The sequence below is a fragment of the Homo sapiens genome, chromosome 8 (assembly GCF_000001405.40).
Source record: "Homo sapiens chromosome 8, GRCh38.p14 Primary Assembly".
In the NCBI taxonomy this organism is placed as follows: domain Eukaryota; kingdom Metazoa; phylum Chordata; class Mammalia; order Primates; family Hominidae; genus Homo; species Homo sapiens.
Genome location: NC_000008.11, coordinates 92481021 through 92502478, shown reverse-complemented (window position 1 = coordinate 92502478; position 21458 = coordinate 92481021). Strand labels below are relative to the sequence as shown.

Sequence of the window (21458 nt, the reverse complement as noted above, 5' to 3'; positions counted from 1 at the left end):
ATTATTTCTGAAATATTTGTACTTCCTTTATCACAGCTGTCAAGAGGCAAGATAAGGCATTTGCAATTGGCAGTGTTTCAAAGGACTCCAGATTTCTCCAAAGAACCTAGATTTCCCAGGTATGTTTCCTCACATGTCCTTTCATCTGGCATCATCGGTGGTAGAAATTCCATGTCACCCTGGCACTGATTTCCTTTTGACTTTACTATTACACACTCACATTCAGGACTGCATGTAAAGCAATGGGTTATTATGAAAAATATAGGGCCCAATTCTTTCAAGAGTTCCTTGAAGAATATGAATTAGAATTAAGAAGGTGGAGAAGCTAGCAGAATAGGAAATGGACAATATTGGCAAAAGAAATTTGTAATGCACAGTATAATACGGCAGGAGATTGGAAAGCAGAGAGATCAGATTAGAAGCATTAGAAAGAAGATTAGAAAGTGAGCTTTGCCTCAGACAGACTTGTGTTGTGTTCCTGGTTCTGTCATCTATTACTATCTATGCATCTTTGGCAAGTAAATCTTCTTCAGCCTCAGTGTCTCATCTGTAAAATAGGGATATTAATACCTACATCATTGTGAGAACAAAATACCAAAATGGCTAGTAAAGCGTCTGACAAATAAAATATGTACATAAATATTTGCTGCTTATACCGTAAATTGTCTTTGACCTCACTTCCCTTTTTAGATTTATTTTTAGAAATCTACATAAATATACTCTCTATAAAAATCTATAAGGTGCTTATCATAAAGGAACTTCAACTCTTTAATAAAGAATAATCAGGAAAGTCTATTTCAAAACTAACTTTATGAGTCAAGTTTCAAATATCAGGCCTTCCTCCTGTCTAATCAATATTCTCCAATTCTATAATCTACAAAAATTATATATCTCCATATAACATGATGTAAATATGTTAATATAATGTTGCTAGTTTAGTTCTTACAATTATGGAATTAGAAACATAAAAAAGAGATTTTTAAAACAGCAAGGTTTTATGAAATATCAGATACTACCATGGCATTGAACAACTCATTGTAGACTCCTAAATGAGCACATAATTTGTATCAAGTTTTTCGATTTTGTCAAATCACTTAAACAAGTAGTGGCTTTAGGTCCCACCAAAAGGTGGGTACCTTGGATTTGGCCCCAGTCATTTAATGCCTGCTTAGATTATTGAGATGTTCTTTTTAACTTCCATTCCCTTCTCCAAATAACTTTCCACATCATCTCTCCTTAGAGGACAATGATATTGTCATTGTTCTTCCTCTTAAATTCAATTGTCTGCTCTCTTAAATTCTGCAAATCACCTCATAAATCATAATTGATTATGTTCATAATTGAACAGTTAAATATTTCTCTAGTAATATGATGTACCTTTTGACTACATTCTTGTGCAGGTATTAGCCATCTACATTAGTGCAGCTTACTGATATTATCTTGAAGATAGATGTATCTATATTATCACTTTTAAAGTACAAGACATAAGTACTAAAAAAGCAATGATAATATGCAACCCCTTGAATGAATATGATCTCATATTGATTATAATGATGGTGATTACTTTGATGAAGGTACTGAACATGTGCAAAATAGAAACAAACATTCAAGATGAGTGAGTGATGAGTTCTGCCTGTGGTCAGAAGAAAACAACACTCCCAACTCTGCAACCTGATCACTTCCCTACTTAGTCCTGTTTGTGGAGCCGCCTTATTAACGACATTAGAACAAAGATATGAAGGTGATGTACAATCATTACTAGTTTTTAACCAAAGATTTTGGTCACAATAAGGACCAATAGCTGTTTCTTTGGACCTCTGAGCCCATCTCTGCTGGAAAGGTATTTGATACATTTTAGCATGCAGGAAACAATAAACATTTACATTTATTTTAAAAATGCTTTTCAATTAACAGTTAAATTTTTTTCACTGTTTTCTTAATTATTTGTGACATTTCTAAGGTTTTTGTGAATAGAGGAATTTGAAAAAATTACAGGAAATTTTAATCCCTTTCCAGATGCTTGAAGTAATGACACAATCTACAGTTTTTAACAACATAATGCATTATATTAAAATCTTTGGGATTTAAATCACACAGTCACAGAAATCTCAAACCTGCTTAAGCAAATAAGAAAATTTAGTGGATCACTAGTTGAAAACTGCTGAGACATTATTGCCTTCAGGCATGACTTGATCCAGGAGCTCACATAGTTACCAAGGTGCAGCTCTCTCCATCTCACCACTGTACTCCCCTTCATGTTGGCGTGTAGGCGTTTCCCTTGAATTTCACCCAGGGCTCACTAGCAGCTCCTGATTTAACTACCCTAGAATTCAAATTTAATGGAAAAGCAAAAAGAATCTTCCCATTTCTCCTTTAGAAATCCTTGGTTTAGTAGTGATTTTCTTGGTTTGGATCCCATGCCCATCTTTAACTATCACCATGGCACGGGGCATGTGACACCTCAATTGGCCAAGACCACCTCAGTGCCTCTTCTAGACTGAGGTATGCAAGACGATTTATCCTAACATGCAGTCTAAGAGTAGGTTTGTTTCCCAAAGGCAAGTCAGGATATGATTGCTAAAGGAAGAGAAAAAAAATGTTGGATGGCAATCCTATGAAACAGCAGACATCTCACTGACTACTGTATCCTCAGACTGGAGTAAGGCATTGCACACAACAGATTCCTGATACTTGTGCGTTACCATTGCAAATAGTGCATCACAGTGAGTACATGAATCAGACAGAAGTGAACATTAGTTTTGTTCACTCAAATAACAAATATGGAATACCTAGATTTGAATGAGGGTGCTTTATAATTTTTATAGTAATTTATTATATGGGCTACGATAATGGAACAAGCAGGGGAGAGTGATATGAATGGCAATTCCACATAGAGCGTATGGTATGAGGAATTGTCTTATGTGTAAAATTCGGTGGGTCTCCATCATAGTGGCGTGGCGTTTTGTCAAATTACACCAATGGTAAAATACTAGGAATATAAAAAGAGCATGCATAACATAGTGTAGTTAACAGGATGGCTACAAAAAAAGTGTGTAATTCTTCTTTATTCATTCATTACTTCTCTAAAATCTTTCCTATGCCTGTCATGTATAGCTTGATCACATCATCTGGAGTACGGGTGGCCTTGAATGCCTTGCTAAGGACCTTGATCTTTCTCAGTAGGCAAAAGGGACTTGAAAGGTTTTAAAGAGAGTCAAAATGTAAATCTGGCTCTGAATTACTGTTGACAAATGGCAAAATAAACTATGGAAAAGAAAGAGAGAGGGGGAAGTAGAGAAGGAAGGAGAAAGCAAAATAAAAGGGTTGGTAGGAGGGAAAAAGTAAACTAGAAATGATATTGAGGGACCAGTGTATTTTCCCATTTATCTTCTTCTTCCTTTCCTGCTCTTTTTTCTGCCTTTATTACCAATGTAGTATGCATTCATTTATTAAAAAAACAACTTTACAGAATTATATATAATAAATGTTAAAACCTGTCTTCCAATAGCCCTCCATAAAGTTAATTATTGATAATATTATGGGATGTTTTTCAGATTATGTTCTCAAGATCCTTCCTCCTTTTCTCATTTTCTCCCTTTCTCCCTCCCTGCCTCTCTCTTTCTTTCTCTCTCCCTCCCCCGCTCCAGAAATGGTATCATCCTCTGTGTTATTTTGTAACTAGCCTTTTTCTTTCAATGATACATCCTGAACAATCTTCCAAGTCAGTACATCCGTATGTATACATATATATGTGTGTATGCATGTGTGTGTATGTATTTTTAAGGCTGTATGGAATGTAATAGCTTGATTTTACTCTAATATATTTAAACATTTTTTAGTGATGGATATTTAAATGGTCTCAAATTTTTTTACTTAAAAAAATGAATAAACCTGCTGTACATCTGTCTTTACCTAATCACGTGAGGATTTCTGTAGTATAAATTCCAAGAAATGAAATGTTGGATTGAAAGAGGTGCAGATTGGAAAAATACTGCCAAAATGCTTTCGAAAATTTTGTACCAATTTATAGTCCCAGCCATCGTGTTTGACAGTGCCTATTTCCATAGTCTCAAAAGCCTTGCCCTAGTCTTTTAAATTTTTGCCAGTATTATGGGAGAAAAATGAAATTAAAATTTAACATTCCCCTGATCATCTTTCCTTATCTAATCCTCACTATAACCATGCGAGGTGCATATTATCATCATCCCAATTTACAGATTTGGAGACAAGATTCAAAGACGTTTTTGCTTTGGTTCAGGCCAAAATGTCATGGTTTGGTGGCTATTAGTGTTCAAAGGCTAAGGTAGCCAATGTCCAATTGATGGGGTAGGTCAGACCAAGAGGCATGTTTCAATCAAGAAATATTTCTTGTCAGCTTTCCACCGAACTGTGGAGTTGGCTGTGGGCAATACAATTGAAGTGAAAAAAGCATTATTCTAGCTTTTATATTTGGGTCTTCTGAACAACTACCAATAACTTGTGAGGCAAACTTAGACAATTATCCTGTGAGCCTAGGTGGGAAAAAGCCAGCTGTTGAGTTTTACCTCCCTCACAGGAGGTCCCTGAATATTAATGAGGCGATCACTAGTATTTCCATATTTTTAGCAATTTGCAAAGTAATACCAATTAAAACAAACGTGTCAAGTGAACAGGTTAGATTAAAACACTACTAAAGGACTTAGGTTCTCCTAAGGTAATTGACACATACGTTGTGTAATTCCTGGGGTCTAGATTAAAAGAACAAGTGGTTTTCTCAAGCATTCCACCTGCCCTTGTTCCCAGATGTCATTCTCAGGCCCCATAGTGTATCAGGTATTTCTTAATTGCCAATTAAAACACATGCCACCTTTAGAAAGGTGTAATAATGAGCCTTTTAAAACAATCTATTGCAGAGATTCTTTTTTTGCTTCAGTTGGTAGTTACTGAAAACATTTCTGTATTTCTGGAGAATATGCTCAACGAGTTAATTCCTCCTGCTTCGGTAGCATATAATACCCATTTCCTAACTGTGACCGTAACCTAAACACTAAATGGCTATTTAAGCATATCAAATACCTAACGCAGTATCTATCACATACTAGACAATCGATATATATGTCGGTTCATTTTCCGTTTGCTTTGCTTTATCTTTTTCTAGAAAGTGAGCATGACAATTAGATCTTTGAAATTTAACTACAAATGTTCTCACCTTTAAGGCAGTCTGACAGAGTAGTATTCCAAACTTTTAGCTACCAATACCAACATTATAACAGACCCCAAAACCCAGCAACCTTCCACTTTATTTTCTTTTATTTTTCTGGTAAATATATTTATCGTATTTTCTAGTAATAAAATAATACATGTTCATTTGACTAAACGAAGAAAATCTAGACAAACAATAGAGTGCAATAAAACCTTCACTAACACCACTGTGCAAAAGAGTGTACCAGGAACATTACAAGTATGTCACAGTTTTTATTTTCTAAACAGGAAGCAAATCACCACAATTTTCTCCTTATTATTAATATTTTCCATGTATATAAAATTATATTACTGCTTTTATATATATAATTATATATAATATTACTATTATATATTATCTAATTTAAGCATATGTTTACTAATTCTCTGTTGAGATACACTTATTCATATATATATATATATATAGTTTTTAAAATATTAAAAGTTGAACTTTGATGAACATTTTGTGCATCTGCTTTGGTTCACCTGACCAGTGATCTCTAGGTGAATTCCTAGAAATGAAACTGGATATGTTTTAAATTTTGATGCATTATGCCAAATTGCCCTCAAGAGAGGTTGTACCAATTTGTACATCCATCAAAAGATTATGACCATGGATATTGGCTCATACACAGTCTATTGCTACAGTTTTTTCACCTTTGCCAATTTGATTAGTCAAAGATATATTTTTTGTGTGTTGTATTTATTTGATTAATTTTATATGTATGCCTATTTGAGTCTTCATATTTTTCTATTATGATATACATGTTTTTCTTATATAGGTTTTTTTAAAAAAACCTTAAAGGGGGTAGTCATATATGTTATGATTATTTATCAGCTTATTGTCATTTTGTTGTTGTAGTCATTTTACTGTTAGATATAGTAATTCTTGTCAAACAGGTTTTAATTTTTGTGTGGTCAAGTCTAGCAGTTCTTCACCTTAAGCCTCCTGGATTTAGTATCATTCTTTAAAAAGTTTCCTATCCCAGAACAACTACATTTAATTTTTAGAGTTTTCATAAATTTTATGTATTTAATTCATCTGAGATATATTCCAGTATAGATATAAAAGAGGAGTATGATTTTAAACTTTTACCAAATGCTTAACCATTTACCCTAACATCAGTTATTGAATAATCCATCACTTTCAAATTAATTTTAGTGTCTCATTTATCATATATAAATTTTTATGTATACTTGGCCTAGCAATCTGGCATTTTCAAAAGCAATGAATTGACTTATTTTAGGAAAAAGAGTGTAGAAACGCTCTAATTCCTCAATTTAAAAAAGTATGGCAATGTGAAAAAGCATGTAAGAGGTGGGGTTATAGGTACATGTTTTCCTTTTACAAATTTCTTTTGAGCTTGTTTTTATATACAAAACATATTACTTGTGAATAACGTTCAAGTCTAAGTTGTTAACTTACTGGGTGGATTATAGTGCCATTCATGGATGCTGAGACTATAGGAAAAGGAGATTAGATGGAGGTGAGATGTCATGTAAAGTGTTAACAGACTGAGCACCCAAGTAGAGGCACTACATGGATGAGTATAGAACGCAGGAGACATACCCTGGATTAAAATCAAGGCTGTAAATGTGAACTTGGATGTCTACTGGGGCTGGAGGAACCAAGCACGGCTGAGATCGCCTGAAAAAACTGAGAGTATGGCAGAGCCTCTTATTCTTGGTTACTTGTCCAGACATATGTCAAGAAAGTGTACAAATAAATGTCCAGTTCTGAATCAAAATCTCTAGGTAGAACCGTGACATCTGTATTTTTATAAACTTCACTGGTGAGCCTAAATACAGCCACAGTTGAGAACCACCAGTAAGAGAAAATGGTAGAGGCAAGAACCCTGGCCAACATAACATTTAAAAGTAGACATAAAGCAATAAAACATTTTTCAGGAAAAGCGGATATATATATATATAAAGGTCCTGGATGTAAATAAAACAGCTTGCCATGGCCTAGCAACTGAATGCAAGCAGGAGTTTGGATATGAATGATGGCAAACTTTAAACAGCTACCATTCCTTGAACTGTTACGTTAAGCTAAACACTAACCTATCTATACCTCTCTATTTATCTAGATGTGTGGATACCTACACAAATACATAGATACTGATATATTATATAAACTTAATTTTTACAACAATCCTAGGGGCTGGATGTTATTATAACCATTTATAGAAGAATACATTGAAGTTTAAAGAGATTAAATAGCATTATCAAAGTCATACAATTGAATTAATGGAAAAGACAAAATTTAAAACCAACACCGTGTTCTTCAGCATTAAGCTAATGCTTTAAGAGCCTTACTCTGGCAATGTTAGGGATGGAGACAAGAACCAGCCTGGAGGCAGAGAGACCCAGTAGTTGAGGTGAAAAGTAGTGACAGCCTTGTTGGTGTGAATGGAAAGAATGGGTTGGGGAGTAACAGGAGCTGAAATTCACACTACCCATTCCTTGGATCTTGGGAATGAGTGAAATAAATGAACTAAATTGGTTCTTGTAATTTTAGCTTGGATTATTGGGTAGGTGGTGGTACCATTAATGGGGGAAAATAGATTTAAGGTAGATGGTTCTAGTTTTAGAAATGTTGAGTTTGACATACCTGTGAGACTTTTGTTTAGTGATAAAGTTGAAAACCAAATAAAGTAAAAGATCCTAAGCTAATTATTTTACTTTATTTTTAAACTTTTTATTGGAAATAGAACACATATACAGTAAAGAAGATTAAATGTACATACCTCAATGATTTAACACCAAGTGATTAACTACGTATCTATTTCAATATCTATTTCCTTATGATATATTTTCTGCTTATCTTATAAATGCTGAGAAAGGTAGGGCAAAATCTAACACGGTGATTGCGGAGTTGTCTGTTTCTCCTTGACATTCTGTCAACTTATGCTTTATATTCTTTTTTTCCCCCTTTTGCCCATTATGGATTAATTTTATTTCATTCTAACTATTCCTCCATTAACTTGAAAATTACTCTTTCACTGTTCTAGATATTACAACATGCATCATTGACATATCAAAGTAAAATAGTAACTGGTTCTTTCTCTTTCTTTCTGGATAATGCAATAATCTTAAAACATTTTAATTTCATTTTTTCTCCTACTCCAATTTATATGTCACTGTTATGCATTTGAATCATATAAATATTTGAAGCTAAATAAGACATTGCATTAATATTATAGTTAGTTTATATAGTCAATATTATTTTAGATATGACCACATACTTATCATTATCTTTGCTTTACATCTCTGCTTGTATCTCCAACACTCCATCTGGCATCATTTTTCTTCTATCTGAAAAATGAAGTCCTTTAGTATTTCCTTGAGCAAAAATCTGCTGATAACAAATTCTCATGTTTTGTTTGTCTAAAAATATCAATACTTTGTTCTTGAAATATATTTTTGTTGCATTTGGAGTTATAGGTTGACACTTATTTTCTTTTAATACTTTTAAGATAGCAATCCTTTGTTTCTTGGTTTCCACTGCTTCTTTTGAGATCTCAGCTCTTAGTCTGTTTCACCTTCAAAAGCAATCTGTCTTTTTTTTTTTTCTTTTGCTTCTTGGGTGTGGATTTCTTTTTCTTTATCATTCTTAAATTTTTTGTAGATCCTTGAATTTTTACCTTGATGCCTTAACATCAGTTCTTAAAAGTTGTCTCAAAGGTTACCTCTGCTCCATTGTCTTTCTTCTCCTCCAGGAACACCCACTGCAATGTATTATGCCTATTCAATGAATCCTCTATATCTCTTACCCTTACCACTGTACTTTCCATCCATTTTTCCCTTCATTTTCTTCTCATGTATTTTCCATTCCACTAACTGTCCCTACAGCTGAGTCTAAGCTGCTGTTAAATCTATCTGTTAAATTCTTGATTTTTGATTACCTTATTTTTGAGTGATAGAATGCCCTTTTTGTTCTTTTTTATTTTTATTTATTGATTTTGAGACAGGGCCTTGTTCTGTTGCCCAGGTTGGAGTGCAGTGCTGCAAACATGGCTCACTGCAGCCTCAACCTCTTAGGATCAAGTGATCCTCCCACCTCTGCCTCCCAAGTAGCTGAGACTATAGGTATGTGCCACCACGTTTGGCTAACTTTTTAAATTTTTTGCAAAGACGAGGTCTCATCATGTTGCCCAGGCTGGTCTCCAACTCCTGGGCTCAGGTGATCCTCCTGCCTCAGCCTCCTGAAGTGCTGGGATTAAGACCATGCCTGGCCTTGTTTTTATTTTTAATAGTTTCCCATTCTCTGCTTAAATTATTAATCTTTTCTTATGTCTTTGAACATAGTAAAAGTTATTTTAAAGTTTGTGTTTGATACTCAGTTATCTGGAGCTCTTGTGAATATTTGTCTATTGCCCATTTAAAAAAATGGTTTTTATTATTTATATTAGTCTATTTTCATGCAGCTGATAGATATACCTGAGACTGGGCAATTTACAAAAGAAAGAGGTTTAATGGACTTACAGTTCCACATGGCTGGGGAGGCCTCACAGTCATGGCGGAAGGCAAGGAGGAGTAAGTTGTGTCTTACGTGGATGGCAGCAGGCAAAGAGAGAGCTTGTGCAGGGAAACTCTCCTTTTTAAAACCATCAGATTGCATGAGACCCACTTGCTATTACCAGAACAGTACGGCAGAAACCACCCCCATGATTCAATGATCTTCCACTGGGTACCTCCCACAAAATGTGGGAATTATGAGAGCTACAAGATGAGATTTGGGTGGGGACGCAGAGCCAAACCATATCATTCTTGTTATTATGTCTGTTCATGTTTCTGGTTGTTTTTATTGATAATACAAACAACATACACAAAATTATTTACAGATATAATTTGAGGCCTAGGATAATATCATTTTCCTCTATAGAGCATTTGGGGCACTGGCAATTACCTCAATTTAATTTCAGTGATGAAAATGACAAAGTTAAACTGCTGTCTATTCCATTTCATCATTACTTTTATTGTGCAGTTTTTAGGGACCCAACACAATGCAAGGGGCTTATCTCCTGGGAAGCCCCTAAACCCTAATATCTGTTCTTGTAACTCATAGACTAGCAGGGTTGTTGTTCACTCTCTCAAAGTCTTAGCTGACCTCTCATGTATAAACAATTTTCCCAAGTGGAAAAGCAGCCTCATACACTAGGCTCTCTCCCTACACCTCTGCCCTGGGTAATACTTCATCCCTTGTTGCTTCTTCAAATATTTGCCCCTAGAGAAGGAATCAGAAAATAAAAAAGACAAATTCAGGTATTAAGAGATATAGAAGAGGTAGAATACCATAAAGAATTACTGAGGTAGGGGAGGGAAAAATACTTCCCCTGGGTTGATCAGGAAAGGTCTCTTGCTGGAGCTGACATTGAGACCAGGATAGTGAGAAGGAGGCAACCCTTTAAAGATCTAAGGGAAGACAATTCTAAAAAGAGATGAGAATGAGCTTCTTTGAGACATGGAAGGAAGACCAGGAGGCTGCAAAGTGGAGGATCATGGCAACAGTGAAGGGAAGTGGCACTGTGGGGGCAGACAATGGCTCCACCAGGTAAATTAGAAGTTGAAGTTCATTTATTCTGGTTTCTATGGGAAACCACTTGAAAATACTAAGCTAGAGATGTATGCCTTGTAGCGGTTAACTGGGCTATGGTGTGGGGTTGGACTGTGAGAGGTCGAGAGTGGAGTCAGATCACAAAAGAGGATGCTTCAGAAGTCCATGGAGTGATTGTGTCATTTGAAGAAGGGGGCAGTAGTGAAGACAGTGATAAGTAATAGGAATCAGGATATGTTTCATTTCCCCTTTGAAATGTTTGCTTTCTGTCTAGTTCTGGGTGCATGTGTATAAATTTGCAATATCTTTCTGGCTCAACCTGCTCAGTAAAACAGCTTGACATCCGTCTATATAAAACTCAGCAGAGACAGTGCTCCTACAGTAAATAAGTAAATAAATATTAAAGGTAACATAGCTGTAACTGGGCACTGTTCTAATGTGCTTTACACATAACAACTCAATCTTCCTGTAATTCTATGAGGCATAATGAATAATACTAATATCATTATTCCCACTTTAAATATGAGGAAACAGGAACAGGGCTGGATTATTTGCCCAAGACCATACAGCTATGCATGGACATCATTCACTAGTGGCTGCTGTTATTCCTTGATTTTTTTTGTTTTTGTTTCTGCTTTGAGAGCAGCACCTTGATGTCCTTTTGAGAAATCGCTCCTTTTCTACTCTTAGCCTATGCTGTTCCTGTGGTGCTGACTTCACTCACAGCTCCAAGGGAGGGCATGTGACTCAAGCTTAGCCAATCAGCACTGCCTTCTTCTTGATACAGCTAATCGTTCAAAGATGAGTCAATCAGAAGCAATGCAATTGCTGACTGCGAAATTGGAGGTCTGGCGTCTTTGTTGCCAACATTAGATGGGAAGTGTCTAAGTATGATGTCAGTATAAAAAGACTGAAACTAACAGAAAAGAATTGGACCCCAGAGATATTGTTGAAGCATCCGGGGCCTTGTACTACCTCAGTTTTAAGTTGCCCATTAAACTCCCTATTTGGCTAGGCCAATTTGAAGTAGGTGCACTGTCACTTGCAACTGAAAAAGACTTCAAACAGCTGCACCCATCCTTTGAGGAATCCCCTGCACACTCACTGCAGGGAATCTGCAAATAGGGAAAGTTGCCATTTTAAGAAAGGTCCATGTTTCTCTAGTGCACTCAGCCTCTTGCTGCCCAACAAAAAGTTGTTTTTTCTCTCCCACTTATCAGACAGATAGAATGACAAGTAGTTAGGATCCTCAATAGTCCTGTATCACACATTCTGTACTTTAGACTTTTACAAGAAAATGAACAATTCAATTACACGTTTACTACCCAGTTATAAATCTCACCTTTGGTTCCATGCCTCTGGGAAAGGATTGCAAATTATGGAGGGCAGGCTTTGGTCCATACTATTCGCTTATTGGATTTGAGTTTTTCTATTTGCCTTTCTAAAGAAATCTTGCCATGAGTACTATTGGAAATGCTTTCAGACAGGGAAAGCAAGAACTACTTGCTAAGATCTAATTTTCAGTTAGGGGAAAAATAGTTTCTTTTTTCCTGCCTATGGCAATCTCACCACATAACAGACAGGCAACGCATAATGGAGACCCCAGATCCCACCAGAAGGGCAATACGGTACAAAGAGAAACTAGAGGTTCAAAATCTTTTGTAATTGAGCATTAAGATTTATGTAAGTTCTACAAAGGAAGGGACAGAGTCCTAAGAAGTAGGGCATAAAAGCAGCAACTTTGAGTGCTCAGTCGCAACTATACTCAGAAGAAAAGGAGGCCTGCAGAGGGCCAGGAGTGAGGCAATGAGAAGCATGAAAAGGAGGGGACCTGACTGATTTCCAACCAAAGACCTGACTTCTGTGTCATGTTAGAGCAGCTGTGCCTAGGATCACAATGCTGCTTGGGTGTCACTGTCCCAATTTCATCCCAGACACTACTTTCATACTCCTTTGCCACCAAGCGGCCCCACTCCCAACTCAGACTTTTTAGCTACTCCTGCTTCCACATGGATGCAGCAACCTCCCAACACCTCATCCCTCACTGCCAAAAACTTCCACCCTTGTTCTTCCTGAATCAGGTCCTAATCTAGAAAAGAATAAATCTTCTGTCACCCCTTTGCATGTCATTCTATAATGGTTTTTTTCATTGTAAATTAATTGCAGTGAGGTAAATGCCTCCCCCTAATATATGTCCACGGGGAACCTGTGAATGTGAACTTATTTGAAAGCATGGCCTTTGCAGGGGTAACCAAGTTATAAATCTTGAGATGAGATCATCCTAGACTATTCAAGTATGCCTAAAATCAAGTGGCAAGTGCTCTATAGGAAGAGAAGACATAGAAGAAGAGAGACACAGGAGAGGAGGAGGAGATGTGAAGACAGAGGCAGGGACTGGAGTGATGCATGTACAAGCCAAGGATCAAGAGGGTTATCAACACCATCAGGAGCTAGGAGAGAGGCATGGAACAGATTTTCCCTCAGAGCCTCCAGAAGGAACCAACCCTGCCAAAACCTTGATTTTGAACTTCTGGTTCCCAAAACTGTGAGCAAATAAATCTCTGTTGCTTTAAGCCACCCAGTTTGTAGTAATTTGTTACAACATCCCTAGGAGATGAATACATAGAGTAAAACTCAAATTTCCTTACCATGATTAGGAGACCCTATATGACTTGGTCCCTACCCACTACTCAGATTAAATGTTTTACTTCTCCTCGTCTCACTTGTTGTCTCCCTTCCCCTTATCCCCTCTGTTTCTTTTCTCTTTCTGTTTTGTTTTTGTTTTTTTGTTTTGTTTTGTTTTGTTTTGTTTTGAGATGGAGTTGTGCTCTTGTCACCCAGCTAGAGTCCAGTGGCACGCTCTCAGCTCACTGCAACCTCCGCCTCCCAGGTTCAAGTGATTCTCCTGCCTCAGCCTCCCGAGTAGCTGAGATTGTAGGTGACCACCACCATGCCTGGCTAATTTTGTATTTTTAGTACAGATGGGGTTTCACCATGTTGGCCAGGCTCGTCTCGAACTCCTGACCTCAGGTGATCCACCCACCTCAGCCTCCCAAACTGCTGGGATTACAGGCGTGAGCCACCACTCCCGGCCCCCCTCGATTTCTTTAACACACATGTTATTTGCTTCCTAATGGCCTTTGTCTATTGCTGTTGTCTGCTTAAAAATCTCCCCCTCCCCACAATGTTTGCCTAGATGGCTCCTTCTTGTCATGCTTCTCTCAACTCAAACACAGGCCTTCCTGAACCTTACTAACCAAAGTACATCTCCCTCCACTCCCCAGTTAGTGTCTACCACATCATGTCACAACACTTTATAGCACTCATCAAAAGTGACAAATGTCTTGTTTATATATTTCCTAGATTGTGAGCTCAGTGAAGGTAAAGTTCGTGTATACCCATTTATTCAACAGCTATTAATTGAGCATCTGTTATATACCAGGTAGCATTTTAGACATTTGGCAAATGTAGTAACCAAACAAAATCAGCCTCTGCTCTTAGGGATTTACATTCTAGCTCATTTTCCATGGCTGTCTCCCTGTGCATGAAGCTCTCTCCATTATTTTTGGTCATTCATTCAATGTTAAATGACTATTAATTGACTAATAGATAAAAGCATTAAGTTCTAGTTATGAATTCTTTCCCTTTTCCTAGTAAAAGCTTGGCTCTGTCTGCTTAAGGAATTTAATAAGCACAGACAATTTTGAGATACCTTCACACTTGTCATTGACAGGGCCTTTTTCTTACAAGAACATGGGAATTCCCTCATCTGTCTAGTCCCATCCCCACGTTTTCATAATTTCTACTGGTGTGATTGAAAGTATGATTTCTCCCTTAGAACATGTTCTGGGAAGCCAAACAAAAGACCAAGCCACACTGGACTTGCAAGTCTTTGCCAAAGATGGCAGCCACCAGGGCAGTTGGCTCGATTAACCACTGCCACGTCTAAAGGTCAGCCTCTGGGACTGTTTAATTGTGGCCATTAAAGTGTTTCAGCGGCTGCTTCATAGCAGTAATTTGGAGCCCAGGAGAAACCAGAGGCAGCTTCAGTACACCAGGTCATTTGAAAAGAGGCTGGCTGCGCTCCATATGCAGCCTGGTAGCAGCTGAGATTTCCAGAAGTACTTAACCTAGCTTAGAGGTCATGGCCTAAGTAAAAGTAAGATTCCCTTTCTCCCAAAGTAAAATTGTAGAGTAGTTCATTTGCCTCCACATTCCCCCTCATCACTTCATGCCCTCCTCATTTTTCATCTTTGACCCAGGACTCCAGAAACCTTACTAATCAATCCACTAGTCAATCAATTAACAATCAATTAACATGCATTAACTGAGCAACTGTTATATACAAAGCAATGTCAAGATACTACCACATTTTCACTATTCACCCCCTCCAGACCACTCTGTTCCATTCCTCATCAAGCCTGCACCTCAAAGATACAGCTAGCTCATCATGAGCACACTTTCCTGCTGAGCCTAGATACAGGCTCACATTTTTTTCTCAACACAACTTTCTAGGCAGTCACTACTCATTGCCTGGGCCTGGCACTGGGATGGAATCTTTTTTGCTATCCCTGAATTTTTGTGCAATCTCCTCCTTTGACTTGCTAAATTACACAGCTGGTCTGTGGTAGACCTGGAACCTAGGTCCCTGTCTCTTGTCTAGGACTCTTTATGATGTCCCAGTATAAACAAGTTAAATAGCATTTCAAAGCTAGCTAGACTTGTTAACTAAAACAAAAATACAATCTAAGTTAGCAAGAAGTGCAAAATAAAATAATATATAGCATTATATTGGAATATTTAAAATGTAATGTCATATATTACCTGTGTAATATACATATGTTATCATAGTTACTTTATAGCCCATTTTATTTAATTTTTATAGTAATTCTATATAATAGGTAATATCCTCCCTATTTTATACATAGGGAAACTGAAATTCAGAGTTTAAGTAACTTCCTTGAAAGCTGCTAAACAGTAATTGTGGAGCTGGGTTTGAAACCAGGTAGATTCACCTGGCTCTCAATATATCTTATTGGCAGTACACACTGCTACCATTGTTGGGAGATAATTCTCCATGGGTGTCTCAGATTTCCGCACATCTTGTGAACAGACACAGTGACAACATTTTGTTCCAGTCCATATTTTCAAGAATGTCTGTACAGCAAACAGTCTTCAAGAGTAGAGCCAGTGTCTCCCTCCAAAGAAGAGCAGAGATTTGTTTGTTGTCCCAGATATTAAAGATACTATCTCCCTCTGGGGCAAATCTTGGACAGGTTTGCTTGCAGCCCATAATAAAAGATTGGGATGTTCCAATCTGAGGGTTCCTCAGATGTGTCCCAGATGTGTTACTGCATGCACACAGTCTCCATGGGACCTGGGTGACAAAGGCAACCAATGCAAACATGAAGCTCACGTTTGCCTTTTGCTCAAGATTCACATGTCTCTTGTTAGCTTATAAGTAGGGTCAAATCTCATACCCTTCAAAGTTTTTAACAACCACGAGTTCCACAGCATGAGACATTGAAAGAGGCTGGGGTGCTCCTGCTCCTGACTGCCTACTCCACTGGGATTCCGAGTTGTTGGTTCATCCTGTCTTCACCTAAGGCAAGTTATATAGAGTCCCAATCCCTCAGGGACTAAATAAATATGCCTGGAGATAAGTCTGAAGTAATATTAATAATGATTATATTTACCTCTTACAGATAAAAAAAATTGCATTTTCATGCATCTTAAACTGATATCATTAGAAATGTGGCTGTTTCCAACAAGATGGGCATTTGGAAGGAAGATGTGTTATTAACAAGAGAAGCTTCTCCCTGTGGGAATTAAATTGGAGCATATCTGAACTGCACTACTTTTTTCAATCTGGCCAGCTCTGCCCACCTCTCTTACCATTGTTCACTCATGACTCTCAGGACAATTTCCTTCCCTTGGAATGAATTCTTAACTTTGTTCTGATTGTGAAGACTTGTTTATGACTGCTTATTGTCAGAATGAAGATTTGAATATTCTGATTTTTTCCTTCTCAGGTCACCTAAGTTATTAGATCAAATCATATGACAAGGTAGAAAATTTTATTCACTGGAAATGTTCCATAAGAATGATTTACAAGATAAGCTGTTAGAAGAAATTAGAATCACACTTCCAAGAGGAAGTAAACCTTCTTCCATGAAGTAGTAGACAGGACGTAAGGCTCATGGCAGTGTGTGGTTGGGTTTGGCCAGTGGGTAGGGTCAGAAATTCCATTGGTTTTCTTCAGCAGGGAGACAGCAATGAAGGGGAGAAGAGAGGGAGGTCAAGGATGACTCTGATGGAAAGAAAACCAAGTAGATAAGAGCATGAGAAGGATTTTAACAGTTGTCATGAGAATCAGGGGAGAGAATTTGATGTCTGGAAAGTATTTCCGAGAAACTCTGTGCAACATGTTTGTGTTAAATCCCTGTGGCATCCCCTTTGAGAAAATTAGTAATGATCTATATTAACCTTTAATGCTGCTAGACTTCTCTTTGTGTTTTCATTTAATGTGACTCTGTTCAGACTGGCCCCACAGGGCCCCAGCTATGTTTTACACTGAATTAAGGACTTAAAGCTCTTTATCATTCCTTCCAAGGAATGGTTTATTCACAGGCACGATTGTTGGGCTACTTTGCTTTTCCTACAATTTTTCTCCAACTAACAACCAAAGTGGGTATCAGAGAATGAGGACTAGGGATTCTTTTTTACTGTAATAAGAAAAAGTATAAATACACAAAAGAAGGAAAAAATAGCTTGAGGACAAGAAAGAAGAACCATTTCAGGTCCACATAACAACCTTATGAGGTAGGTATGTTAGCTCCATTAACAAATAAATTAGAGCATGGAGTTTAAGAATCTTATTCAATGGAGAGGATGTGGAGAAATAGGAACACTTTTACACTGTTGGTGGGACTGTAAACTAGTTCAACCATTGTGGAAGTCAGTGTGGCGATTCCTCAGGGATCTAGAACTAGAAATACCATTTGACCCAGCCATCCCATTACTGGGTATATACCCAAAGGACTATAAATCATGCTGCTATGAAGACATATGCACACGTATGTTTATTGTGGCATTATTCACAATAGCAAAGACTTGGAACCAACCCAAATGTCCAACAATGATAGACTGGATTAAGAAAATGTGGCACATATACACCATGGAATACTATGCAGCCATAAAAAATGATGAGTTCATGTCCTTTGTAGGGACATGGATGAAATTGGAAATCATCATTCTCAGTAAACTATCACAAGAACCAAAAACCAAACACCGCATATTCTCACTCATAGGTGGGAATTGAACAATGAGATCACATGGACACAGGAAGGGGAACATCACACTCTGGGGACTCTTGTGGGGTGGGGGGAGGGGGGAGGCATAGCACTGGGATATATACCTAATGCTAGATGACGAGTTAGTGGGTGCAGCGCACCAGCATGGCACATGTATACATATGTAACTAACCTGCACAATGTGCACATGTACCCTAAAACTTAAAGTATAATAATAAAAATAAATAAATAAATAAATTGTAAAAAAAAAATAAAAAAAATAAATAAAGAGCTCACTGGAAGTTTAAAAAAAAAAAAAGAATCTTATTCAAATGTGTAAAGGTAGGCTAGCTGCTAGAAGAACCTCAAAATTCTTGCTGCCAAACCCATCAAAACTTAATTTTTGTCTCGTGGAACATTCCAGTGTAGTTGGCTGTGGGTTACTGGAGGTGGTCATGGGTCAGAACTCCCTCACGAGGCCACACCTAGGTGCAAAGGAAGCTAGGAAATGCAGTCTGGCTGTGAGTCTAGGAAGCGATGATTTTGGAGCTCTAACAAGCTCCGCCCACAAGGTAGAATAATTAGTCAGTAGCAGTGGACTCCTTCAGACATAGGTCTATTTGGTGCCAAGACTATTCACTCAGCTAATGTGCTGTATCATTTCCTTTTCTGAAGCTTTATTTACTTTTTGATTAGGGCATATTTAGATAAACAGCTAATCTGCTTCTCCCCTTACACTTCTGCATGTCACAATTTTTTCTAAGGCCAATAGTGCAATACCAGTCTTTGGGGTGGCCTTTTCACAGACTTCTTAATCATGAAACAAATCTTATCAGAATTTTGTTTTCTGATCATCTTTCTTGTAGTAAGATTTCACATTAATTGAAAGAAAAACAGGGTGAAAATAAATCTTACATTTTTATCATCTCCCTGCAATAGAGAAAGGAGGGGGAAGAAAAGCCTCAGCTAGAATAGGCCCCATCTCTGAAAGCATATCAGAGCTAAAGAAGAAAGGGGAAAATGAAAATGATCTTTAGATGTCCTTCCAGAAACTTGTGCCCAAAGATTTGCCCAGGAATATCATATGGATGTCCAAGTGGCTCACATCAAGAATTGTACTAAAAAAGTTCCCATTGTTATATATGAATACTTTTCCTTTTCAACATCTGAAAGCCACATGTGATTTTCAATCAGCCAGTGAAAACAAACTGACAGACAACATCCCTTAGGAAATGCTTGGTACGCCATTAAGTTTCAACACACTTCTCCTTCCCTTTCTTGAGCAATCCTATATTTCTGCATTTGTGTAAGTACATATGTGTGGCACATTTGTTCACATGCTGCTGAGGAGAGCAAACGACTCTGCATTCTTTCCTGGGTATGTGCTCATGCAGTGACTACACATTCCTTGCGTGGTGAGTGGCGTTCACCACACTGGGGAGTCCACAGGTGCTCACGAAATACCTCGCAGTCCAAGGCTACAGCCTGCCTTGCAAGGCCACGCGCCTTCCTGGCCACCACCCACACCCACAGGAGGGTTGTGTGAGGTGTGTCCTCCTCCCTGCTCCCCCTCAGTGTCCCCATGGTTCTGGATACATAGCTTTTGATGCTATTGTGCTGTAAATGCTAGTTTACATCTGTTCTCAACTTTATGGCAATTGATCCGTTTTAGAACCGATCACAGACCATTGCATATAATAATTCTGTAAAATGTTCTTGATACGTGAAGTCATAAAGAAAACAATCAGAGCCCTGAACAGCAGCTTGCCTTGATAATTCAGGGACCTAAAAATTTGGCATATAATAATCATAGTATTCTGACTCCACCTAAAACCCTAAACATTTGATCAACTTATGTAGTTACTAATATGCTGTTCAGTTTTAGTTATGATTAGAAATTTAAATACCATTCTTTAAATGGTGATCTGATTTTTCTGACTGCACACAATGTTCCATGCAAATGTTATACCTTTCCATTGCATATGTTAATTTATTTAATCTTGACAACAACCCTATGAAGTAGGTGCTCTTAGTATCCCCATTTTACAGATTAGGAAACTGAGTCACAATGAGGATAGTTAACTTGCCCACAGACACACAGATGGCAAATGCCAGAGCCTAGATTCACTTAGCAAGACTGGCTCTGGAGCTTGAGTTCTTATCCACTCTGCTAAACGCATTCATTTAATAGCAGCTTATTGATATCTAATGATGTGCTCAACAGAAATAAATTAATTTCAAATAGTGCTAAGTGCTCTGAGAAAATAGTCTGATATGGAGAGAGAGAGAAGCATTAATTAGTAGGGGCCAGGGAAGGTCTCTCTGAGAGGTGACTTTTATGTTGAGATTTATTTGATGAGGAGGCACCAGCAAGGCAAAGCTGAAAGGACAAGATGTTCCCAGCAGGAGATATTGCAAGTGTAAAAGCCAAGAAAAAAGGGAGAGCTTGGTGTGTTTGAGGAATAGGCCAGTGTGGCTAGAATATAGTTGACAGGGGGAAAGTGGTACCAGGTAATGTCAGAGGGGCTGGCAGAAGCTAAATCAGTGGAGTTATTCTTAGGATTTATGATCAGTGTGATAGACAGCCACTGGAGCATTTTAAATCATTCTGACTCTTTTGTGTGAAATTAATTGTGATGAGAAGACTAGAATGGAAGAAGAGAGTCTAGTTGGGAGGCTGTTGCAGTACTCCATATAAGTTCAGGTAAATGATGATGATGGCTCAGGCTAACATAGTAGTACTGGGGGGAAGTAAGTCGTATCCAAATATGGTGGAGATGACGGGAAACATTTAGGATGTGTTTTGGTGATAGTGCCTATAAATAGAAGCAGCCATCAGGAAAGGGCTATGCCAGGAGCCACCTCTGATCTTCGTCCACCTTGACCCTCTGGCCAGTCGTCAGGAACCGGGAATTTGGAAATAACTCTCTCATCAGCAAGTATCTTCTGCTCTGGTTTCTGACCTGGAGTTGTAATGTATGGGATCTCTTCAGTGAGAGATCATCATTCAAAATCTATTAGAATGACTTCTAGGAACTGTCAAGGCTGTTTACCTCCCCTGCTTTCAAGAGATCTGTGTATTCACATAACACTGAAGGGCATTCACTCATGCAGAGTGGATGGGAATTTGATAGGAAGATATGTCTCCAAGCAGAGGGAACAGGTAGAGCAGAATGTAAAGTCAGGAAAATACAAGGAGAATTCAGGTACGTTTAGAGCAAATTAAGCTGGAAAGAGAGTGAACTGGGTGCATTTATGGAGAGTACTGATGTTTTGTGTGCTTTATGTAGGGTAGTAGAGAATCAGCAGCAGATTTTGGAAATGGGAGAGAGCCATGAGCTGTCTTTCTTTTAAAGCTAAATGGGACTCAGCAATTACCTATTCCA

At 37.9% G+C, this 21458-nt stretch overlaps 1 long non-coding RNA gene across 1 annotated transcript in view; it reads left to right on the top strand.

The window, feature by feature from the left end:
- The window catches only part of LOC105375639 (uncharacterized), a 49696-nt gene that overhangs the window by 7343 nt on the left and 20895 nt on the right, over window positions 1–21458 (top strand). Inside the window, exons 2-3 of the long non-coding RNA XR_007061005.1 lie at window positions 37–119; window positions 1575–1741. This is a non-coding gene — a long non-coding RNA (uncharacterized LOC105375639). The remainder of the gene's footprint in view (window positions 1–36; window positions 120–1574; window positions 1742–21458) is intronic.